Genomic DNA, 18889 nt, shown 5'->3' with positions numbered 1-18889 from the left:
CTGTTGGTGGGAGTGTAAATTAGTTCAACAGTTGTGGAAGACAGTGGCCATTTGACCTAGCAATCCCATTACTGGGTATAAACCCAAAGGATTCTAAATCATTCTACTGTAAAGACACATGCACACATATGTTTATTGCAGCACTGTTCACAATAGCAAAGACTTGGAACCAACCCAAATGCCCATCAATGATAGACTGGATAAAGAAAATGTGGCACATATACACCATGGAATACTATGCAGCCATAAAAAAGGATGAGTTCATATCCTTTGCAGGGACATGGATGAAGCTGGAAACCATCATTCTCAGCAAACTAACACAGGAACAGAAAACCAAACACTGCATGTTCTCACTTATAAGTGGGAGTTGAACAATGAGAACACATGGACATAGGGAGAGAAACTACAGACTGGGGCCTGTCGGGGGATGGGGGCTAGGGGATGGATAACATTAGGAGAAATACCTAATGTAGATGACGGGTTGATGGATGCAGCAAACCACCATGGCACGTGTATACATATGTAACAAACCTGCATGTTCAGCACATGTATCCCAGAACTTAAAGTGTAATTAAAAAAATTAAAAAATAAAAAAAGCTTTCTTATCACCCTCTGCTATATTTAAAGGGAGGGAAATGTCTCATTTCCATTATTATGAAGACTCATTATATATGTGGCCCCTTATTAATGTCTCCTCCTATCTTTTTAGATTTTCTATTTTGCTTCTACCCCATAAAGGCAATACACCATATCTAATCAGAAACTCCTTTGAAACCCATTAACCATTGATTGTCCCATAGGCCAGAACACTACCCATGTGCTATGGGAAGCATCTGAGTCAAAATTTCCACCATCCAATTGACTTTCTTTAATATTTACATTGTACGAAGTGGATGATTACTTCAGGCTCTCCCTCTGATTCTCTGTAGAAAAATTAAAATTGGTTTTCCAGGGCCATTCCCATAGACAGTGTGGACTACCAAGAAAAGAGACAGAAAACCACACTTACTGAATAAAATAAAAGTAACTTTCAAAGGTAATAGTGAAATCAATGTCATATCTCACAATGACAAAAGCAGACAACACCTCACTGGCAATAATATGTCCTGGTGGAAAATCAGCATCAGATAACAAAGTCCTGTCAGGTGCAGCTACACACCATTCTGTTAACCACTGGTTTCACTACTATAGGTCTGGATACTTCCATTGGTTTGCAGCCCAGAGGCTCAAACTCTCCAAGTTAGCCATTGTTTGACCACAGCAAATGCTTAGGTCCATATTCCATTGAGTTTGGCAAGGTGAGTAGAAGCCCTACAAACAAAATACTCACCTGGTTTGCTCATCTGCAACCAAACCAGCAACTGAGGCAAAAGGCCCATTGGCTAAATTGGAGGGCTTGCCTACAGGCTAATGCTGATCCTCCAAGCTCAACCACAGGTATTTTAATAGGCAAAATTGTGACACCCTATTAACCACATGCATGCAAATCTGGCCATATCATTTAAAACCTATTTGCAGCAAAACCCTCCCCATCACCCATCCAGACAAAACCTTGGACTATTGGGGGATTTTTGGTTCAGCCACTCTTAAGGCCTTAATTGTGCCAGCCAGGTTACAGGGCTTTGGTTCAATTACAACAACATCACAAATGCCAATATCACCATTCTTAGCTATGTACTCATAAAACCTTGTCTTAAAAGATATGTATAAGTCAAATTCCCAGGTGCAAGGTTGCCTTAAAATTTCTCAAGAGGCTCAGTCTTACCATAATATGGTGAACAAGACCCACAACAACTCAAGTGGGTAACTACTTATGAAAGTACCTACTATGGAACCCTAGTTTCATAGACCAGATCACGTTGACCTGTCCTAGGAGTTCACTGTTGGGGATGACATCACCTCAGGCAATGTCAACCCAGCCTGAGACCACAGAATTGGCGATGGCTTCATCCCCTGTGCCAAAGACAACTTCATCTCAACACCAAGACCGCCACGTCAACAACACTCCCAGGATACCTCCCCTGACGTTCTTTCAAATGGAACCCTGGACATTTATTACTAATTTTTTCTTTTGATATTAGGTTTTATACTACATTTCCTGAGCTTACTGTTTGCTTAGCGCAGAATCCTGGCATGTTCCTTGCTCTTTATCTATACTCCCATTCCTAAAAGGAAACCTTGTGAAGTTGCTACTCTCTGTGCCATTCTAAAATTAATGTATGTTATTGCCTCATACTGGTCCATACTTGGACTGGACCTCTCACTCCTCAGAAAACTTCTCCTACCCTCCTGCATCCTCCAGGTTGCCACTGCAACTTCCTGCCTTGCTGATCTGACCATGACCACCACAACTACTCCTCCCCTCGGTTACAAATACTGCTAGCCTTTACATACACCTTATTAAACTTTCAGTTCATATTCTCCAACAACAAAACTGCTGTACCTGCCACCTTGATTCGAGAAATACACTGTTATTATTACCACAAAAACATAATAAAACTCATAATTCAAACATACTTTATTGGAAGTCTCTGAGCCTACTCTGGCTTAAGGGGCTTTCAATATACAATAATAGTGAAAAGAAAACACAATAACTCCAACAAGATACTGTTAGAGACCCCAAAATTTCAGACTTTTTTGCTATATACATGGGAAACTTGGTAACAGGATGGCCTGCAAGGACTCCTTATATTTCTACTTGTTTCCTTCCTTTCTACTCTTACACTAAATGTTTTTGTACACTGCTTAGGGGAGCTTATACCCTACTGTTTAAAAGTCTCCATTACTCTTTGGGCCACTGTAATACCCCTAATAATTGAGTTTGTCACTAATGTCAAGACAACAAGGGGTCCAACTAGGTATCTTAACCTAGTTTTGAGTCTCTGGCTAGAGGCCAGTCAGTTCCCCCTTCTGAGAAGTTAATGACATCCACACTCCAACCCCAACTTATCAGGCTCTTATACTCTGGGACCAATATACACCCCCTTATGCCCAGAGCCTGCAAACTTATTAGCCAGCAAATTTGCAGGGGGCCCATGTAACTAGCTAAACCCATCCTACTTGCCCCTACAGCTATAGATTGTCATTACCCTGTTCCTACATACAATTTCCTATCTGGCCCTACCTGGCATTCACATCTTGGTTCGAGCAGTAAATAGCAGAGTTCTGCCTTTATCTATCCTAGTATCAATGTGCTGTGTCCCACCATCAAAAAAGTCTTTATATCTCATAAAACATGTAACTTATCCTCTTTTACTATAAAGCAATTACAGGAATGCCCTGCCCAAATCTGAAATTTTCTAAATGCTTAGAATTGTCCTCAAATAAAAAAAAGTCATGTCATTTAAACAGAAATTGATAATATGACATTTCCACCTTAATAAGGGCATGTAACCCAAATGTCAAAGGAAGATTAAACTGATATTGACTTTTCATAAATATTCTTTTTTTGTCTCAGTGTTTATTTTTTTCCTTCTGTTCAAATCTATTGTATCTGTTTCTTCTGGCCTCATTTTTTTTTATCATTGGTATTCTAAATTGCGTTCTTCAATACAGTAGCTACTAGTCAAAATTAAATACAATTAAAACATTTAAAATTTTAAATTAACCGAAAATTAATTTGTAAATAAAATTAAAAATTAATATCCTAGTGACTAGCTGTATTTCAAAGCCTCAATAGGCACATATGACTAGTTGCTATGATATTAGCCAGTGCTGGAGAGCCTTTTTTTTCATAGCAGGAAGCACGATTGGAGATGTTTTCTCTAGAATATGTGTGCCTATTAATTCCTTCATTTACTACTGGCATTATTTGTCAGGAAGAGTTTTATGGAGTATACCAGAGATATTTTATTTGAATATATGTTAACCTAAGTGTAAGATCAGATAGTCTGGGAGAAAAAGTTATGGGAAGTAAGACACAAAACACAGCAGAAACATTTTTTTCATTTTTTTAAGCTAAAGAAAACAGAGATAAAGTGTCTGTTATGATAGACCAGAAATGACACATTATCTTAGATTTGACCTCTACTCTTCTGGGTGGTGACGGTTTTCCTTAACATGTTTGGAAAAAAGAAAAAAAAAGAAAAATCAAGCATATGCTGTTTCACAAAGCCAAGAAGGCTTCCTTGGATGGCTCTGAAAACGTGTTCATCACAAGACGGTTAGCCCTCCAGATATGGCTTGTTCATAATGTAAATAGTCCATCCTTTGGGATTAGACTTTCTGGCAAGGCCTGCTGAATTGAAGGATGGTTACTTTCCCAATTATATATGCATTGCAGCCAGACATATTCACTTTGATTCAATAAATTACATGCCCATATATGTCTTATATAACCTATAAGAAACAGTGTTCAACACTGGTACTGGTTTTGAGGTAGCCTAGTTTTCATTGTCTGAAAACTAGGATGGTGCGTCGCATGCCATGTTTAAGATTAAGCTTTGTTACATTAACATCCTTATAAGATGCAAATGATCCAATCTGCTCTTTAGAGTTAATGAATGTGGCCCTGATTATCATTCAGTTTTATGTATCCTGTATGTGTGTGTGTATGTGTGTATGTCTATAGCAGTGTTTTCCAGCTTTGGCACTGTTGATATTTGAGGCATTTGAGACAGTATAATTCCTTGTTGTCAGGGTCATAATGTCCTATGTATTGGAAGATGTTTGGCAGCAACATGGCCTCTAGCCACTAGACGCCAGCAGCACCCCTCCACCTCACCCAGTCGTGACAATGAAAAATGTCTCTGGACATTGCAAATGTCTCCAGGAGGGCAAAATAATCTGTATTTGGGAAGCACTGATCTATGGTAACCTTTTAAAAGTGAGACTGTAAAAGAAGTGATAATGACTAAACACAAATGATGCAAAAAAATTACATTTTATTAGACAGTATAAGTATGTTTATAAATACATTTCTATAAATGAAAATATAATGTGCTATTAGTAACATGTATTTAGTGCTGCTTTTCACCCTCAATACCTCCTTACTAACAATGTAGTAAAGCTACTAGGGCTGGGAGGTATTTATTTAAGGTCTGGACCTCAACTTTCCATTCTTTCATGATAATTTTTTAAATTTGCTAAAAATATTATATAAGTCACGTAATATTCTTTACTACATGGTCAAATCTCTGTATTAGATCTTTTAATAACAAGGAATAACCATTTCAATCTCACTTTAAGCATAGTTGCATGAATTTGTAGTCAGGATTCTACCTCTGTTTTTAGTTATCTGGTATGAACTTGGAAATAGTAGGAAAAAACAAAAAACACAAAACAAAAAACCCTTAATCCTTTGCTAGGCTCATAGAGGGATGTCTAGTAGGTCTTTTGGTTTGAGTAGAAGGAAAGCACACTCTGAGTTGAGAATCCTAGGTCAAGATCTCTTTTGCTATGCAAAAATCATTAACTCCTTGATGCCTCCTGTATGGCAATAGCAAATGTCTCTCTTGAGTATAGCCACACAAAGTTGTACTGTTTAAAGCAGACATGGCTGCACATTGTATGGCACAGTATTATAGGAGAGTAAAAAGTGATTTTTCTTTATGACTTCAGAGCTTTACTCATCTACTTTTTGTTTAGTTACAATAATGTACTGACTTAGACATGGTTTAATCAGCCTTCTCTAATTCTGTATGACATTGGGCTGGGCACATTGCAATTAGAACTTTGTTTTCTTGCATATAAAATAAAAATCAGATACCTGTTTCTGAGGTTGTTAGGATTTGAAAAGCTAGCCCTGGCCTAGTGGCATTCAGGGAAGGTCGGGTCCTTTTTCCTAATAAAGGACAGATAGAGAAAGTAGTTCTTATACGTTATGCTCTAGAAGTCCCTTCTTGGACTCTGATAACATAAGGAAGCAACCCTCCTGTCTGGCTGAAATAGACCTGGACTCAGATTTCATAGCAGTTGTAGGTAATAGCAGAGTAGCAATGGTTGCCAATGAACCTCATCTCTGGCTCAACTCTATTGGAAACAGTTGCAACTTTCTGCTTCAGTGGCAGCCCCAACAAACATTAAGGTAGGAGGATCAGTTCTTAGGAAATGTGAGAGACTGGCAGGGATTCAGGCTGTACTGGAGTGTCAGATCAACTAAGAAAGAGATGGTGCTTAGAAGCCAAAATAGCCACACCATCTTCTGCCTCTTTTGTCTCAAATGGCTCACACTAAAACAGTCTGGGACTGTGTGGCATAAAATACATACTCAAAACATCATATGTCAAATCTGTGGCTTGTGAAAATTTCCTGTACAAAAAGAAAATTCTTTATTAACAGTATGGAATCAAAATCAGCTCTATGAAAACCTTTCTTAATAGAGCCCTTAATAAACACATTGATTTTTTAATCATCTCAAAGATGGCCTTTTCAATGCAGACTATTATATATGATCATATCTAAGTCATTATTTTTGAAGTAAAATTACAAGGGTGACAAAGGAGCAATGCTACTTTTCAGAGTCCAACCAGTGAGAGTGATAAATGAGGCAAATAGTTCATTGAAAGTAGTCACGTTGCCATTCTCGTGGTTTGTCTTCTACAAACTGAGAGTTTTAACACAAATCAAAAAATATTTATGAAAATAATGTTACTTTGCCCAGACAGCCTCTGATACACCTTTATTTAATTATAATTAGTTAAAATTATCTTAACAGATAAGGAATTGATGTCTGGCCAGATTCACACATTCATGAACGACATAATGGTCTTCTCAAAATGAGGCTGCACAAGCCGTCAGAGATATGCCTCCAAGACTAGAACAGGGAGTAACTTTCTTCCAGATGTCATCATGGGACCAATATGACCAAAATCCATGATTGATGCAGTTTGAATATTTGTTCCCACCTGAATTTCATGTTGAATTGTAATACCTGCTGTTGGAGGTGGGGCCTGGTGGGAGGTGTTGGATCATGAGGACGAATGCCTCATGAATGGCTTGTGCCATCCCCTTGGTGATAAGGGAGCTTTTACTCTGAGTTTACATGAGATCTGGTCATTTAAAAGTGTGTGGCCCCTTCCTTCCCATACTCTCTCTCACTTGTTCCTGCTTTTGCCATGTGACGTGTCTGTACCCCCTTTACCTTCCGCCATGATTTTAAGCTTCCTGAGGCCTCCCCCAAAGCCAGGCAGATGTTGGCACCATACTTCCGGTAAAGCCTGCAGAACCATGAGCCAATTAAGCCTCTTTTATTTATAGATTACCCAGTCAGGTATTTCTTTATAGCAATGCAATAATGGCCTAGCACAATGGTTCATTATTAATTATTATTTCAAAAATCTTAAAACATTTGTCTGAAAAGCTCAATTATTTTGTATTATAGTTTAGTGTTAGAATAGTTTATAGAAAAACATTTAAATATTAAAAAAATTATAACACTTTTTTTTTAATTTTTGATATGATGGTGACCTAAAAATTGGAGCTTTCTATCTCTGAGAGGCTCTGCTAATGTCATTCTTACTGTTTATTGTAATGGCAACCTGCATAGCACCAGAGCGAGAGGTAATTGGACCACTGAATAACATCTGAAGTCTCAGTAACAGTCCTTTGTCATGAAAGATGATGACTGAAAGCATTTTGTCAATGTTCTGTAGGACAGAATCCAGAATTCTGGACTATCACCACTCTATCACTCCTGGAGTCCAAAAAACATTAAAAAGGATTTAACAAAATAATTAAATTGAGCTCATAACTTGAGGAGATTTTGTATTTGGCAAAGGCACTTGAGAGCAAAATCTTCCTTAGCAACCAGTTAATTATGATCTCTTGGCTATGTTCACCAATACCCCCATCATCCATTCAGACACTGTTTTTGTCCGCATTTCGCAGATACATATAGCCCTCAATTCATCTAAAGTCCTGGGTGCTCTACTTAAGAAACCAATTTACCTGTAGTAGATTAAATAGTATACTTGATGGCATTTTGAAATGTAAAATACACTAGAAATCGGTGCTGTTATTTTTCTCAGATAAATCGCCGCACTGATTACCATGAAGTACATTGATGTCACTATCACTATGACAACATTGTGACAAGAACTAGTCACTCTAAGCTACCTAGTAAAAGGAAATGTCATCTATATTTCTGAATAAAATGTAACACACAGAACCTCTGCTTTTGTACATAAATTAGTACCTTACTGGCTAGGGAATGTTGAATCACAGTTGGATGAAGAAACAATTCATGTTAATGTTTCTCTAAAGGTAAGATTTGAATATTTGAAAAATGTATGCTTTAACTTTTTGATCAGTTAAAAGGGAAGCATGGTTTTATCATTATAACATAAGGATCTATTTGATGGAATAAATGCCCTTCTCTTTATTTGCTTATATTTTGCACTTAAAGTACAATTCAGTTATAGGAACAAATAGTCTAGATAGGTGAGTTTTGAGATATATTTGAAGATTATTATGTGAAGTAACATTTGAATCAGTCTTTATACTTTTAGGATATTGCATAATTTTTAATTTTCAGCTTTTAAAGATAGAAGTGAGTCATCTACTTGTACTATTCCTTTTTTAATTAAGCAAAGATTTAAAATCTTTTTGTTGTTGTCAACTTTAAAAATAACTTGTCTCTCATGTGTTTTCTGCCCCCTTTCCCCAGGGGTGTCCTATAGAAAATAAACGCAGTGTGTTATAACCACAGAAAGAAAATATTAGTCATCACAAACACCACTCGTTTACAAATGCACAGCTGCCAGTATTTTTGGGTTATTTATGCTCAATTTTGTACTTGTTTTAGTTTGTACAGTATAGTGTCAGTATTCTGACATTTGGTGTTTAAAGAACTGTATTACCACATGATATGACATGGAACAGTTGACAAATGGCAATTTTCCCAGTAATGTTTGCCTTTTTATTTGATCTGAGCCAAATCTGAAACTCATAAGAGGAATTCCTTCCTGATAACACTTGTTTAATTTAAATAATATATTTTAAATAGTATGTTTTAATTTTATTTTAAATAATTTTAAATTTATATGTTTTAAATTTATTTTAAATATTTATAAATTTAAGTATCTTAAATTTATTATTATAAAATAATATATTTTAGATTTATTTTTATATGTAATTTATATATACACAACCTATCTGAAATTTAAAATTTTACTATTTATTTTGGTCAATTAAGACAATGTGACTGTTATGCGTCATATATAATATGGGCTGTAATCTCAGAGATGGTCACTTTGATGTCTTATAATTTCTTAGTTGCATAAACATGATTAAAAGGCTATTTGTTTTCTAATGCATAATTTGGTGCTAGAGACACCCAAAGAAAAACAGAAATATCTTTGGTGAAGGGTGTGTTGTTCTGAGTGTATTAACTAACACAAAAACAAAAAAGAAAAAAAAAAGAAAAAAAAAACAAAAAAACAAAAAACAAACAAAACAAAACAAAAAAACAAAACAACAACAACAAAAAGAAATAGTATGATTAACTTAATTTTCAATCCATATGTTATTGTATCAATTTCTGTTTTAGAGTCCAGATATACATATTTTGATTATATTAATTTTAACTAAACAGTATTTTCTAACTTATACTGACTGTGGCTATAATATACACAATATAGATGAGGAAGAAAATACATTTAATTTCAATTAAAAATGTTTTGAATATTCCTTAATAGTATTTTAAATAAAAATTAAATAGAGGTAAGCATAGAGATAAGTAGAGAAGAAATATATTCAGAAGTCTATTGGATATGTAGAAACTTCAAGACGGGAGGATTTCAGACTTGTATTTTTAGTGAAAAAACTTCAAAATTGATTGCCTTGTAAGAGATTTATTTTCAAGAGGCATACTTCCCCTACAAATTATAGTTTCTATTTTAAAATAAGCCTTTAGCAGAGCATATTGTATATCATGAAAAAAATCTGTTCCAAACCATCCATCTAACCTATTTTTATCATATAATACAAGCATTAGTTGGATTTCCTAGACCATATATAACGTTAACCCACTTTCTGCAAGCTCCCACCTATATGTATGTATACACACATACGCAAACACACATTCACATGCTTTGTGTTTAGAGTGGAAAGATAAGTATCTGCATATTCTTCTCTGTAATCCAAATGATATATTTCGCTATAACTACATTTTAATCTCTCTGTTAAAAATTTTGAAAGAGGCAAACAAACTTAGAATCCAATTTCCTAAGAATGATTTTTTATTTGAAGATTTAAGCAACAGCAGATTTTGTCTTTTTTTTTTTTTTCAACAATCTTTGAGAGGACATCAGCAATCATCTTCTTATAAGAGGCATTCAAATATTAAGAAATTGAATTCAGATCTAATGGAATACTAGTCATATCTTTAATTCATCACTTCAATGTGATGATTACTCCTTCATCTAATGTTTTAAATTTATTTAAGTTCAGTGATTTTATAGCAAGACAGAAAGAGAAGATAGCAAGTTATTTTTTTCTTTTCCTTTCCTGTGGATTTGAAAACAAACATTTTAGTTAACTGATCTGGAAATGAATAAAAATTGTTGCTTATAAATTTAGGATAAAAGGAGAAGCATAATCTCTGTTAGTCACAAAATTATTTAGTCCAGTTTGCCAGCAAAAGTTACATCAAATAGCTTTTAGAGTACATGAGGAATTCTAAAATTTAGAAATATATTAAATCTAAAATGGAGATTTTTACTAGTATTTATGTTATAGTATGATGATACATTAAGCTTTAGTTTATTTGCAATACATGGTGAAAATGGCACTTGTGAATAAAATAGACATTCCAGACTCTAATTTTTTTCACAACTAGAACCTAATGTAAACTGGCCTGCCATTATTTTCTGTAGCAATATAATCTTGAGTTTCTTTAAAAATGCCTTCAATAGGTCAGGCATGGCAGCTCACACCTGTAATCCCTGCACTTTGGGAGGCCTAAGTGGGCAGATCACCTGAGGTCAGGAGTTCAAGGCCAGTCTGGCCAACGTGGTGAAACCCCATCTCTACTAAAAGTACAAGAAATTAGCCGGGTAATCACAGCTACACAGGATGCTGAGTCAGGAGAATCACTTGAACCCCGGAGGCTGAGGCTGCAGTGAGCCGAGATTGTGCCACTGCAATTCAGCCTGGGCAACAAGAGTGAAACTCCACCTCAAAAAAAAAAAAAAAAATGCTTTCAATATCCTTTTGTAGGCAAGTTTAGGTATTGCTGTGACTTTTTGAAAAAAATAAAAATAAAAGATTTTCATCTATCCAGGAATTTTTCCACAGTGTTGCATTTGATACGTTTAATTTTAATGTACTTATTATTTCTTTTTTCATTCTTTTTCCTAAATAAGCCTAGTTGGTTTCAGAAATGTTGCTTTAAATTCAATTGACTGTCTTGCCGTTAGAATATGAAAAATTGGCTAGGTATTTTTACTCAGCTACAAATCTTGAACCACATAATTCTTGTAAAAGTACTGTATTTAATGTTCACACAGACAGCTATCTTGTGGCTAGAGTTTTCCGCCAAGAATACACCACAAGCTTTTTGTTAATATTATTCAGAAGTGGAAACGGAGGTAGGAAACTTGATTTCCTGCAATATGAATGAGATTTTTTCCTCTAATATCTCAGAGCTCAGTCAACACAGGGGCACTTCGAAATATATTTATTTATGACTATTGTTCCTTTCATGAGCCCAAGAATTCTCCAGCTTCTGAAATACACATCTTGTTTACTTGCTATCACCATCTGTCAGAAAATATTTTGAGTTGAAAAAAGCAGCAGCAGAATAATCCCACCTGCAGATGCTGTTCAACTGAGAAATTAATCCCAACAATTGAAGTCATCAGGAAGAGAACTCTGACTTAGTTCTGTTTTCATTGTGACACAAAAGTTTACCTTATTTGACTCCTTGGGAAAATGAAAGTAAATGCTAATTATATTTCATTCAGATTTGCGTTTGAAACTTTAGGGCTTTACAAAAAAATGGTTCAAGAATTCTGTGACACCTTCCCTGCCACTTCCTGACCTTATTTCCCTGGTATCTGTGCCATCCTAGTGTACGCTGTCCATCTGCACTCCAGCCTGCCGTTCAGAAATGGTGTCTATGGCTGGGGAAGAGTGTGGGGTTAACATTTGAAAGAGAGATTCAAAGAATACTACGCAGTGTATTCCCAGCTTCAAGATTTGCATCCCTGTTAAAGCAAGATAAAAGTATAGCCTTTGGGAGTCAGGGGGAGAATTACAGAAAGGCAATCATTCACTTTAGGGGAAGGGGTATGAAAACAAGAGGGCAATTTTACCCGCTTTCACTTTGTGATTGATGACACGGGAGCATTCTGAGGATATGCTATGTGTTTTTTTCTCCTCTGGTTTATTTATTTATTTATTCCTTCATTTTTCCTATGAGCAACTCATTTTTTTCATGTATTCAATCGACTAACATTTATTGAACATTATAGCTTTATAAATCTTTTTTTTTAATTTTTACTTTATTTGCCAAACCTGTTTCTGCCTCAAGGTTTTACAGTTTTACATTACCCTGTTTTACTTCTTTATAGCACTTGTCACTTCTGGAAACCATACTATTTGTTTGCTATATTGTCTAGTTCCCTCTTAGGAAGTGTTAAGTTTCATGAGTAAAGAAACTCTATGTTGTTCAATGCTGAATTCTCCAGATGTAGCAGGATGCCTGGCATGTGATGGTGATAGTTCATCATCATCATCGTCATTATCATCATTGGTAGCAGCCAATCTCTACAAAACTTTTAATATTTTTTCAGCAAATGAAATAATGAATGATTGAAGTCATGTCATATAATTTATTGGGATTAATTAAGCCCAACCCATGTTACTACACTTAATGATCTATTGATCCCATAAATTTTCACTTTCAAATACAGTCACATGCCACATAATGATGTTTCAGTCAAGGATGGACTGCATGTACAAGGAGGTCCCATAAAATTCTAGTGAAAATGAAAATTTTCTATAGTCTAGCAATGTCTTAGACTTCATAATGTCATAATGTGTCAGTAGAACACATTGCCTTTTCTATGTTTAGATGTGTTTCAATACACAAATACTTACCATTGTGTTATAATTGCCTACAGCATTCAGTTTAGTAATGTGTTATACAGTTTTGCAGCCTAGGAGCAATAGGCTATAACATTTAGCTTAGTCGTGTAGTAGACCAATGGTCCAAACCGTTTTGGCATGAAGGACCTGTTTCATGAAAGACAGTTTTTCCATGGGGGTTGGGGGATGCATGGTTTTGGGATCATCAGGCATTAGACTCTCATAACGAGCACACAACGTAGATCCCTCGCATGCTTAGTTTACAATAGGATTCATGCTCCTGTGAGAATCTAATGCTGCTGCTGATCTGACAGAAGGTGGAACTCAGGCAGTAATGCTCATTGGCCCACCACTCACCTTCTGCTGTGCAAACTGGTTCCTAACAAGCCACAGACTGATACTGGTCCCTGGCCTGGGGTTGGGGACCCCTGTAGTAGTCTGTGCCATCTAGGTTTGTATGAGTACAGTTACGACATTTACACAAAGAGGAAATCACCTAACAACAGGCTTCTCAGAAAGTATCCCCATTGTTCATTGAAGCCTGACTGTAACTCAGTTTCCTAAGCTGGAGGGTATCTGCAATCACCCTTCTTTAGTATCACCCAGGCATATTTGTGTTACACAGGGATTAGCATCAGTATTTTGCAAGATCTGAAAGTATGAAGTTGATATTCATTTAAATTTTTTGCGATACTAGAAATCTTAAGAAAAACTGACAGACGGTAATATCAAGATTCTACCTACCTTTGGTTGTTCTCTGATATCACCATAATCTGTTGCTGCAATTGTTATGATTGTTTTTGTTAACTCTTTTACAAATAGCATAATGCTGGTCAAGACAATAAATCATCAAAATAAATGACAGACTGGAAAACCAGTAAGATGAATTCTGCAAAAGTGAATGGACTCTCTTATATTTAGTTTTAAATATGTAGCTGATAATACATAGTAAGAAAAAGCCCAAAATAACAGTATTAGCTTTTAAACAAATACATCACATTATTTGCATGATGCAAATGTATGGTCAATATGCTAAAAACATTAAATTACCTGTGATTTAATCAATGTATATGCTCAAATAAAGAATGCCATGTACTACATTTCAAGAGAAATATCACATTTTGCTTCCATTTTGACAGGGTCTGCTTTTCCAGAGCAAAGGGCCTGAATTTAGTCACTGGGAATTTTTGGGTAAAGAATGAGTAACTCTCTCCCTGTGGCCTTGTAAGGAGAATCCAAACAATGGCTAATAGAAACAGCTGGATGACACTCAGGTTCCTTCAAAGTCTGAGATTTGGTTATTAGGTAAATTACTCAAGGCAAAAAAGGAACCCCAGGAAAGTGAATGGGAAAAGACAGTTGGGATTTTTATATTTCCAATCATCAAAGAACTTATTAAATTGTTTTTCACAAAGAGCCCTCTTGAAATCTTACAATTTTGATTCCGTCTATATTTAAAGGAGCCACAAATATGTAATTTATTACCATAGATTTTTTACTGTGAATACAATATTACATTTAGCTTGATTCAAGTAGTCATGTACACAAACACAATAGATCAAAGATTATTCAAATCAAATGTTCTAAAGCCTCAAGTTAGAAACTAATTTAAAAAATTGTTCATGTTCTAATTGTTACTTATCACCTAAAAGCTAGCTTTTTTTTTTATAATCTCCATACTTTAATGTTTTGTTGAAAAAAAAGACAAGAACAAAGATCAAACTTGTCTTGAGATAAAAAGATGTAAAGAGGATCATATAAATATTTATTACCTATTTGCAACCGGTAGCATTAAGGAGAAATGGACAAAGGTATTTCAGTTTTGAATTTCTCTACTATATGGAGTGTGGCTGAATGAGCTGTCACTCTTTTTACCTCACTATATGTTTGTCAGAAATAGAAATACTCATTAATCCTCAGTAATTATTAGAGTAGGTTATTGCTTTGCACTAACTTTAGGTTGCTTTCCCTCTCTCTCTCAATCTCTCTAATACATTTTGCTCTAATTATTTTATCTGGCTAAAATTTTCTACTGCAATTCATTAGTCTTACATAAGTTACTTACTTTTAGCATTTTAAACAATTCAGTAAAAATATTTCAAGTTTTTTAAGCTCTATAATTACATTTTTGCAGAAAAATATGTATAAAATTAGGCCAAAAAAAATAAAGTTTTGTTTTTAATTATGAAAGACTTTTTTTTTTTTTTTTTTTTTTTAATAAATCACATGCTTGTAAAGTCAGAAAACGGGCTGGGCGCGGTGGCTCGCACCTGTAATCCCAGCACTGTGGGAGGCCGAGGTGAATGAATCACTTGAGGCCGGGAGCTCAAGACCAGCCTGGCCAACATGGTGAAACCTCGTCTCTACTAAAAATACAAAAATTAGTCAGGCGTGGTGGTGCATGCCTACAATCCCAGCTACTTGGAAGGCTGAGGCAGGAGAATTGCTTGAACTCAGGAGGCAGAAGTTCCAGTGAGCTGAGATAGTGCCATTGTGCTCCAGCCTGGGCAACAGAGACTGCATCTCAAAAAAATAAAAATAAAAATAAAAATAAAAATAAATCAAGTCAGGAAACACTTGTTCTTTAGGATGTGCTGTGAATGAAATAGTTTGTTTGCATTCTTATGTAGGAGTTTTGAAATCCTCCTAGATTTTCTCCAGCACATATGGATTAAGGTTTTCATTTAAAATTTTCCGTCTTTCAAGTAAAAAATTCTGCAGCTAACCAGCTAAAGTTTCAGTCTAAAAATAAAAGTTAAAATCAATTCAGTAGTTAAAGTGAACCAATAACTACCATAAACCATTTCACTAAATTGGTTCATTTCAAATAACTGGCTTATTGCAAAGGTTTGCATTATATATAAAATGAATAAAATACATCAAAATATATTGTACAATGTACAATTCATGCATAATATTTCCTTAAGATGAAATTTGAAAGAGCTTTAGATATTAAGCATCTTGCATTATTTTATTTTTATTTAACATTCTGCAATGTAGATTTTATATGGTATGTAATGAAATATTCTCAGTAATTATATATAGCCCCTTCTCTGATTCTCAATTATTTATCTTTATAGTGTCTCTATATTTGAGCTGACAAAAAAAGGAAAGAAAATTAAAAATTAATTAGATTGCCTGAGGTTATTCCATGGAATGGGGCCAAAAATAAAAATCCAAACAAATCTCTCATCTGGTCAGTCTGTTCTAATGGAAGCAGCACAAGCTCAGGCAGTAAACAACTTTGATTGAATGTTCCCTTAAAGGCCAGGCATGGTGGCTCAAGCCTGTAATCTCAGCACGTTAGGACGCTAAAATGGGAGGATTGCTTGAGGCCAGGAGTTCGAGACCAGCAGCCTGGGCGACATGGTGAGACCCTGTCTCTATTAAAAAATAATAATGTACATATATATATATATATACACACAAATATGTGTGTATTCCCTTGAAACTTCCACCATTTCTATCTAATTAGAATTTTTCCTTGAATAAGGAAAAGGATGGGAATCCATTCTGATAGTACCAGCTTGAATCATTAAAAATTATTTAGTAAGTTTTTATTATGTCTTTCATGTTGTGCTATGTGAGGTATAAAAAAGCCTCTTAAGACTGGGTTCATCAGTGTACTATATGTCTAACTAGGGGGACAAATTTAAGAGTCAAATTGTATTTTTCTTTTTAGCCAGTAGAAAACAGGAGAAGGAAATTGTTAGCATGGACTGTTGTAATAAAATTTTTATGGATGAAAAAACTTCAACCAATATTAAGATTTTATTTCAACCATTAAACAGAAGATTTTAGACATTTTAAGTTTAAGAAATTTTGAAATTGTTTTAGAATATTTATAAAATTATTGTCAATAAACCTATTCTTAAAGAAAAAAATCTCCAACCAGGGTATCAGATTTGGGAGGATATAGTTTTTTTTGACAGAAGTATAGATTCATATCATGATGTACAAAAATGTAATGAAAAGAGCAAAATGGAAATGGCTATTTTAGAGTATGCCTATGTGTGAATTGAAAAATGGTTTTCATTATGTAGGACCAGTGCCAAATGAAAGAGAGCATTGAGGGGCCAAACATGTCATTTTTGAACTAATGAGACTTCTTTTTTAATAGTTTTATATTATTTTGATGTCAGGCCAGTGTAAGTTTAACAAGGCATGAAGGGTGGTTTTGCTATATTATAATCACTCAGTTCTATTTCATTTCTGTGTGTTAAACCAAATTATAATTTTACTTATGAATGTATATGAGATTAGTAATCATTAATTGATAACCATGAATATACACTGCTACCAATCCATAAGAAAAAAGTGTTTTATTTGTTTTGTTTAATATTCTAAAACTTGGTGTACATTTTTCTTAGAAACCATGCTATAAATGATGCTCAAGTTTCTGTTAGCAATTTTCACAAGAACTTCTTAATAAATTCCATCTACTTGAGATGAGTTATTCATATAAAAATATGCTCTGAGTTCTACTTGGGGTATTAAAAACTATTCCCCTCCTCGTACTTGCATATTAGTTCCATACTAATTTTTATAACTCCTCTCATTCTTAACTATATACTTATGGCAATATATTTATTTTCAAAGTACAGTGTACACAACCATCTCCCAAATCTATGTCTTTAAAATGACTTAACCCCATTCAAGTATAAACCAATATAACCTACTGCTTCTAGGATTTTTCTACTTGCATATCTAGGGTATATTCAATTCTACATATCAAAATAAAATGTATTCTCTTCCAACTAGCCCTGTACCTTATATTCTTCTGATCCTCCCAAATGAAATTTGTGTTAACATCATAAAACCAATCATGAAGAAGGAAATATTGTGAATCCATTCCCTCTACCTCTGCTTTTTTCACTACTCAGATCTAGTCAATCCATATCCCTTATTTATTTTATCTTCTTTATGCTATTCAAATTGTAATCATTGTTGGGTTATGATCCAGTACTATCTGTCACATAAGCCATTCTTAGTTGGGTTTCAGTCACTTGCAACTAATATAACCCTGAATACCATAAAAGCCTATAATGTAAATCTTGAGTGTCATTGATTTGGTTCAAGAAATTATCCCTTTTGCATCTTATCTCATTTAATGACCAACAGTCAATTCCTCCTCAATATTTCCTCCTCAATCTTGCCAGCAAGATCTCTTAAAAATGAGAGCTTGATCTTCTCACTTCCCCCTAACTAGCCCAACTCCTGTTTACAAACTTCCAATTATGATAGATTAAATTCTAGTGCCCTCTGCATAACCTGCAAGATCATTGATTTACTGGCCTTTACTAACCATCTAAATTCTGTCTGTAATACTCATGTGTTTTATTTTCCATTTATCTTATTTATTTATTTTTGAGACAACGTCTAGCTCTGTCACCTAGGCTGGAGTGCAATGGTGCGATCTTAGCTCACTGCAGACTCTGCCTTCTGGGCTCATGTGATTCTCCCACCTCAGCCTCCCAAGTAGCTGGGACCACAGGTGCAATCTACCCAGCTAATTTTTATATTTTTTGTAGAGATGAGGTTTTGCCATGTGGCCCAGGCTGATCTCAAACTCCTGAGCTCAAGCCATCTGCCTGTCTGGCCTCCTAAAGTGCTGGGATTACAGGTGTGAGCCACTGGGCTGGGCAATCTTAAATATTTATAACTCTTCAAAATATGATGTCATTTTGTGACTCTATGCCTTAGCACATATTATGTGACTCTATTCCTTCTTCTTACTCATAACTCAACTGATAAGGAGATTGATTGTTCCAAATGTTCACTGGGCATCACCTCCAAAGTAAAACCTCTCCCTATTCCCAAACTTCCACACTTTTTCTTATAAATAATTTTCCCACTGCAA

General features: G+C 35.0%; 1 protein-coding gene across 5 annotated transcripts in view; it reads left to right on the top strand.

Moving 5' to 3' along the window:
• The window catches only part of DGKB (diacylglycerol kinase beta), an 829810-nt gene continuing 818960 nt past the window's right edge, over positions 8040 to 18889 (top strand). For all 5 annotated transcript variants that reach the window (NM_001350722.2, NM_001350711.2, NM_001350717.2 and 2 more), the window contains exon 1: positions 8040 to 8202. The gene's annotated coding sequence lies outside the window, so the exon portion shown is untranslated. The remainder of the gene's footprint in view (positions 8203 to 18889) is intronic.

This window comes from Homo sapiens, chromosome 7 (assembly GCF_000001405.40).
Source record: "Homo sapiens chromosome 7, GRCh38.p14 Primary Assembly".
Lineage (NCBI taxonomy): Eukaryota > Metazoa > Chordata > Mammalia > Primates > Hominidae > Homo > Homo sapiens.
The sequence above is the reverse complement of the archived record's forward strand: the minus strand, read 5'-3'. Positions and strand labels throughout refer to the sequence as shown.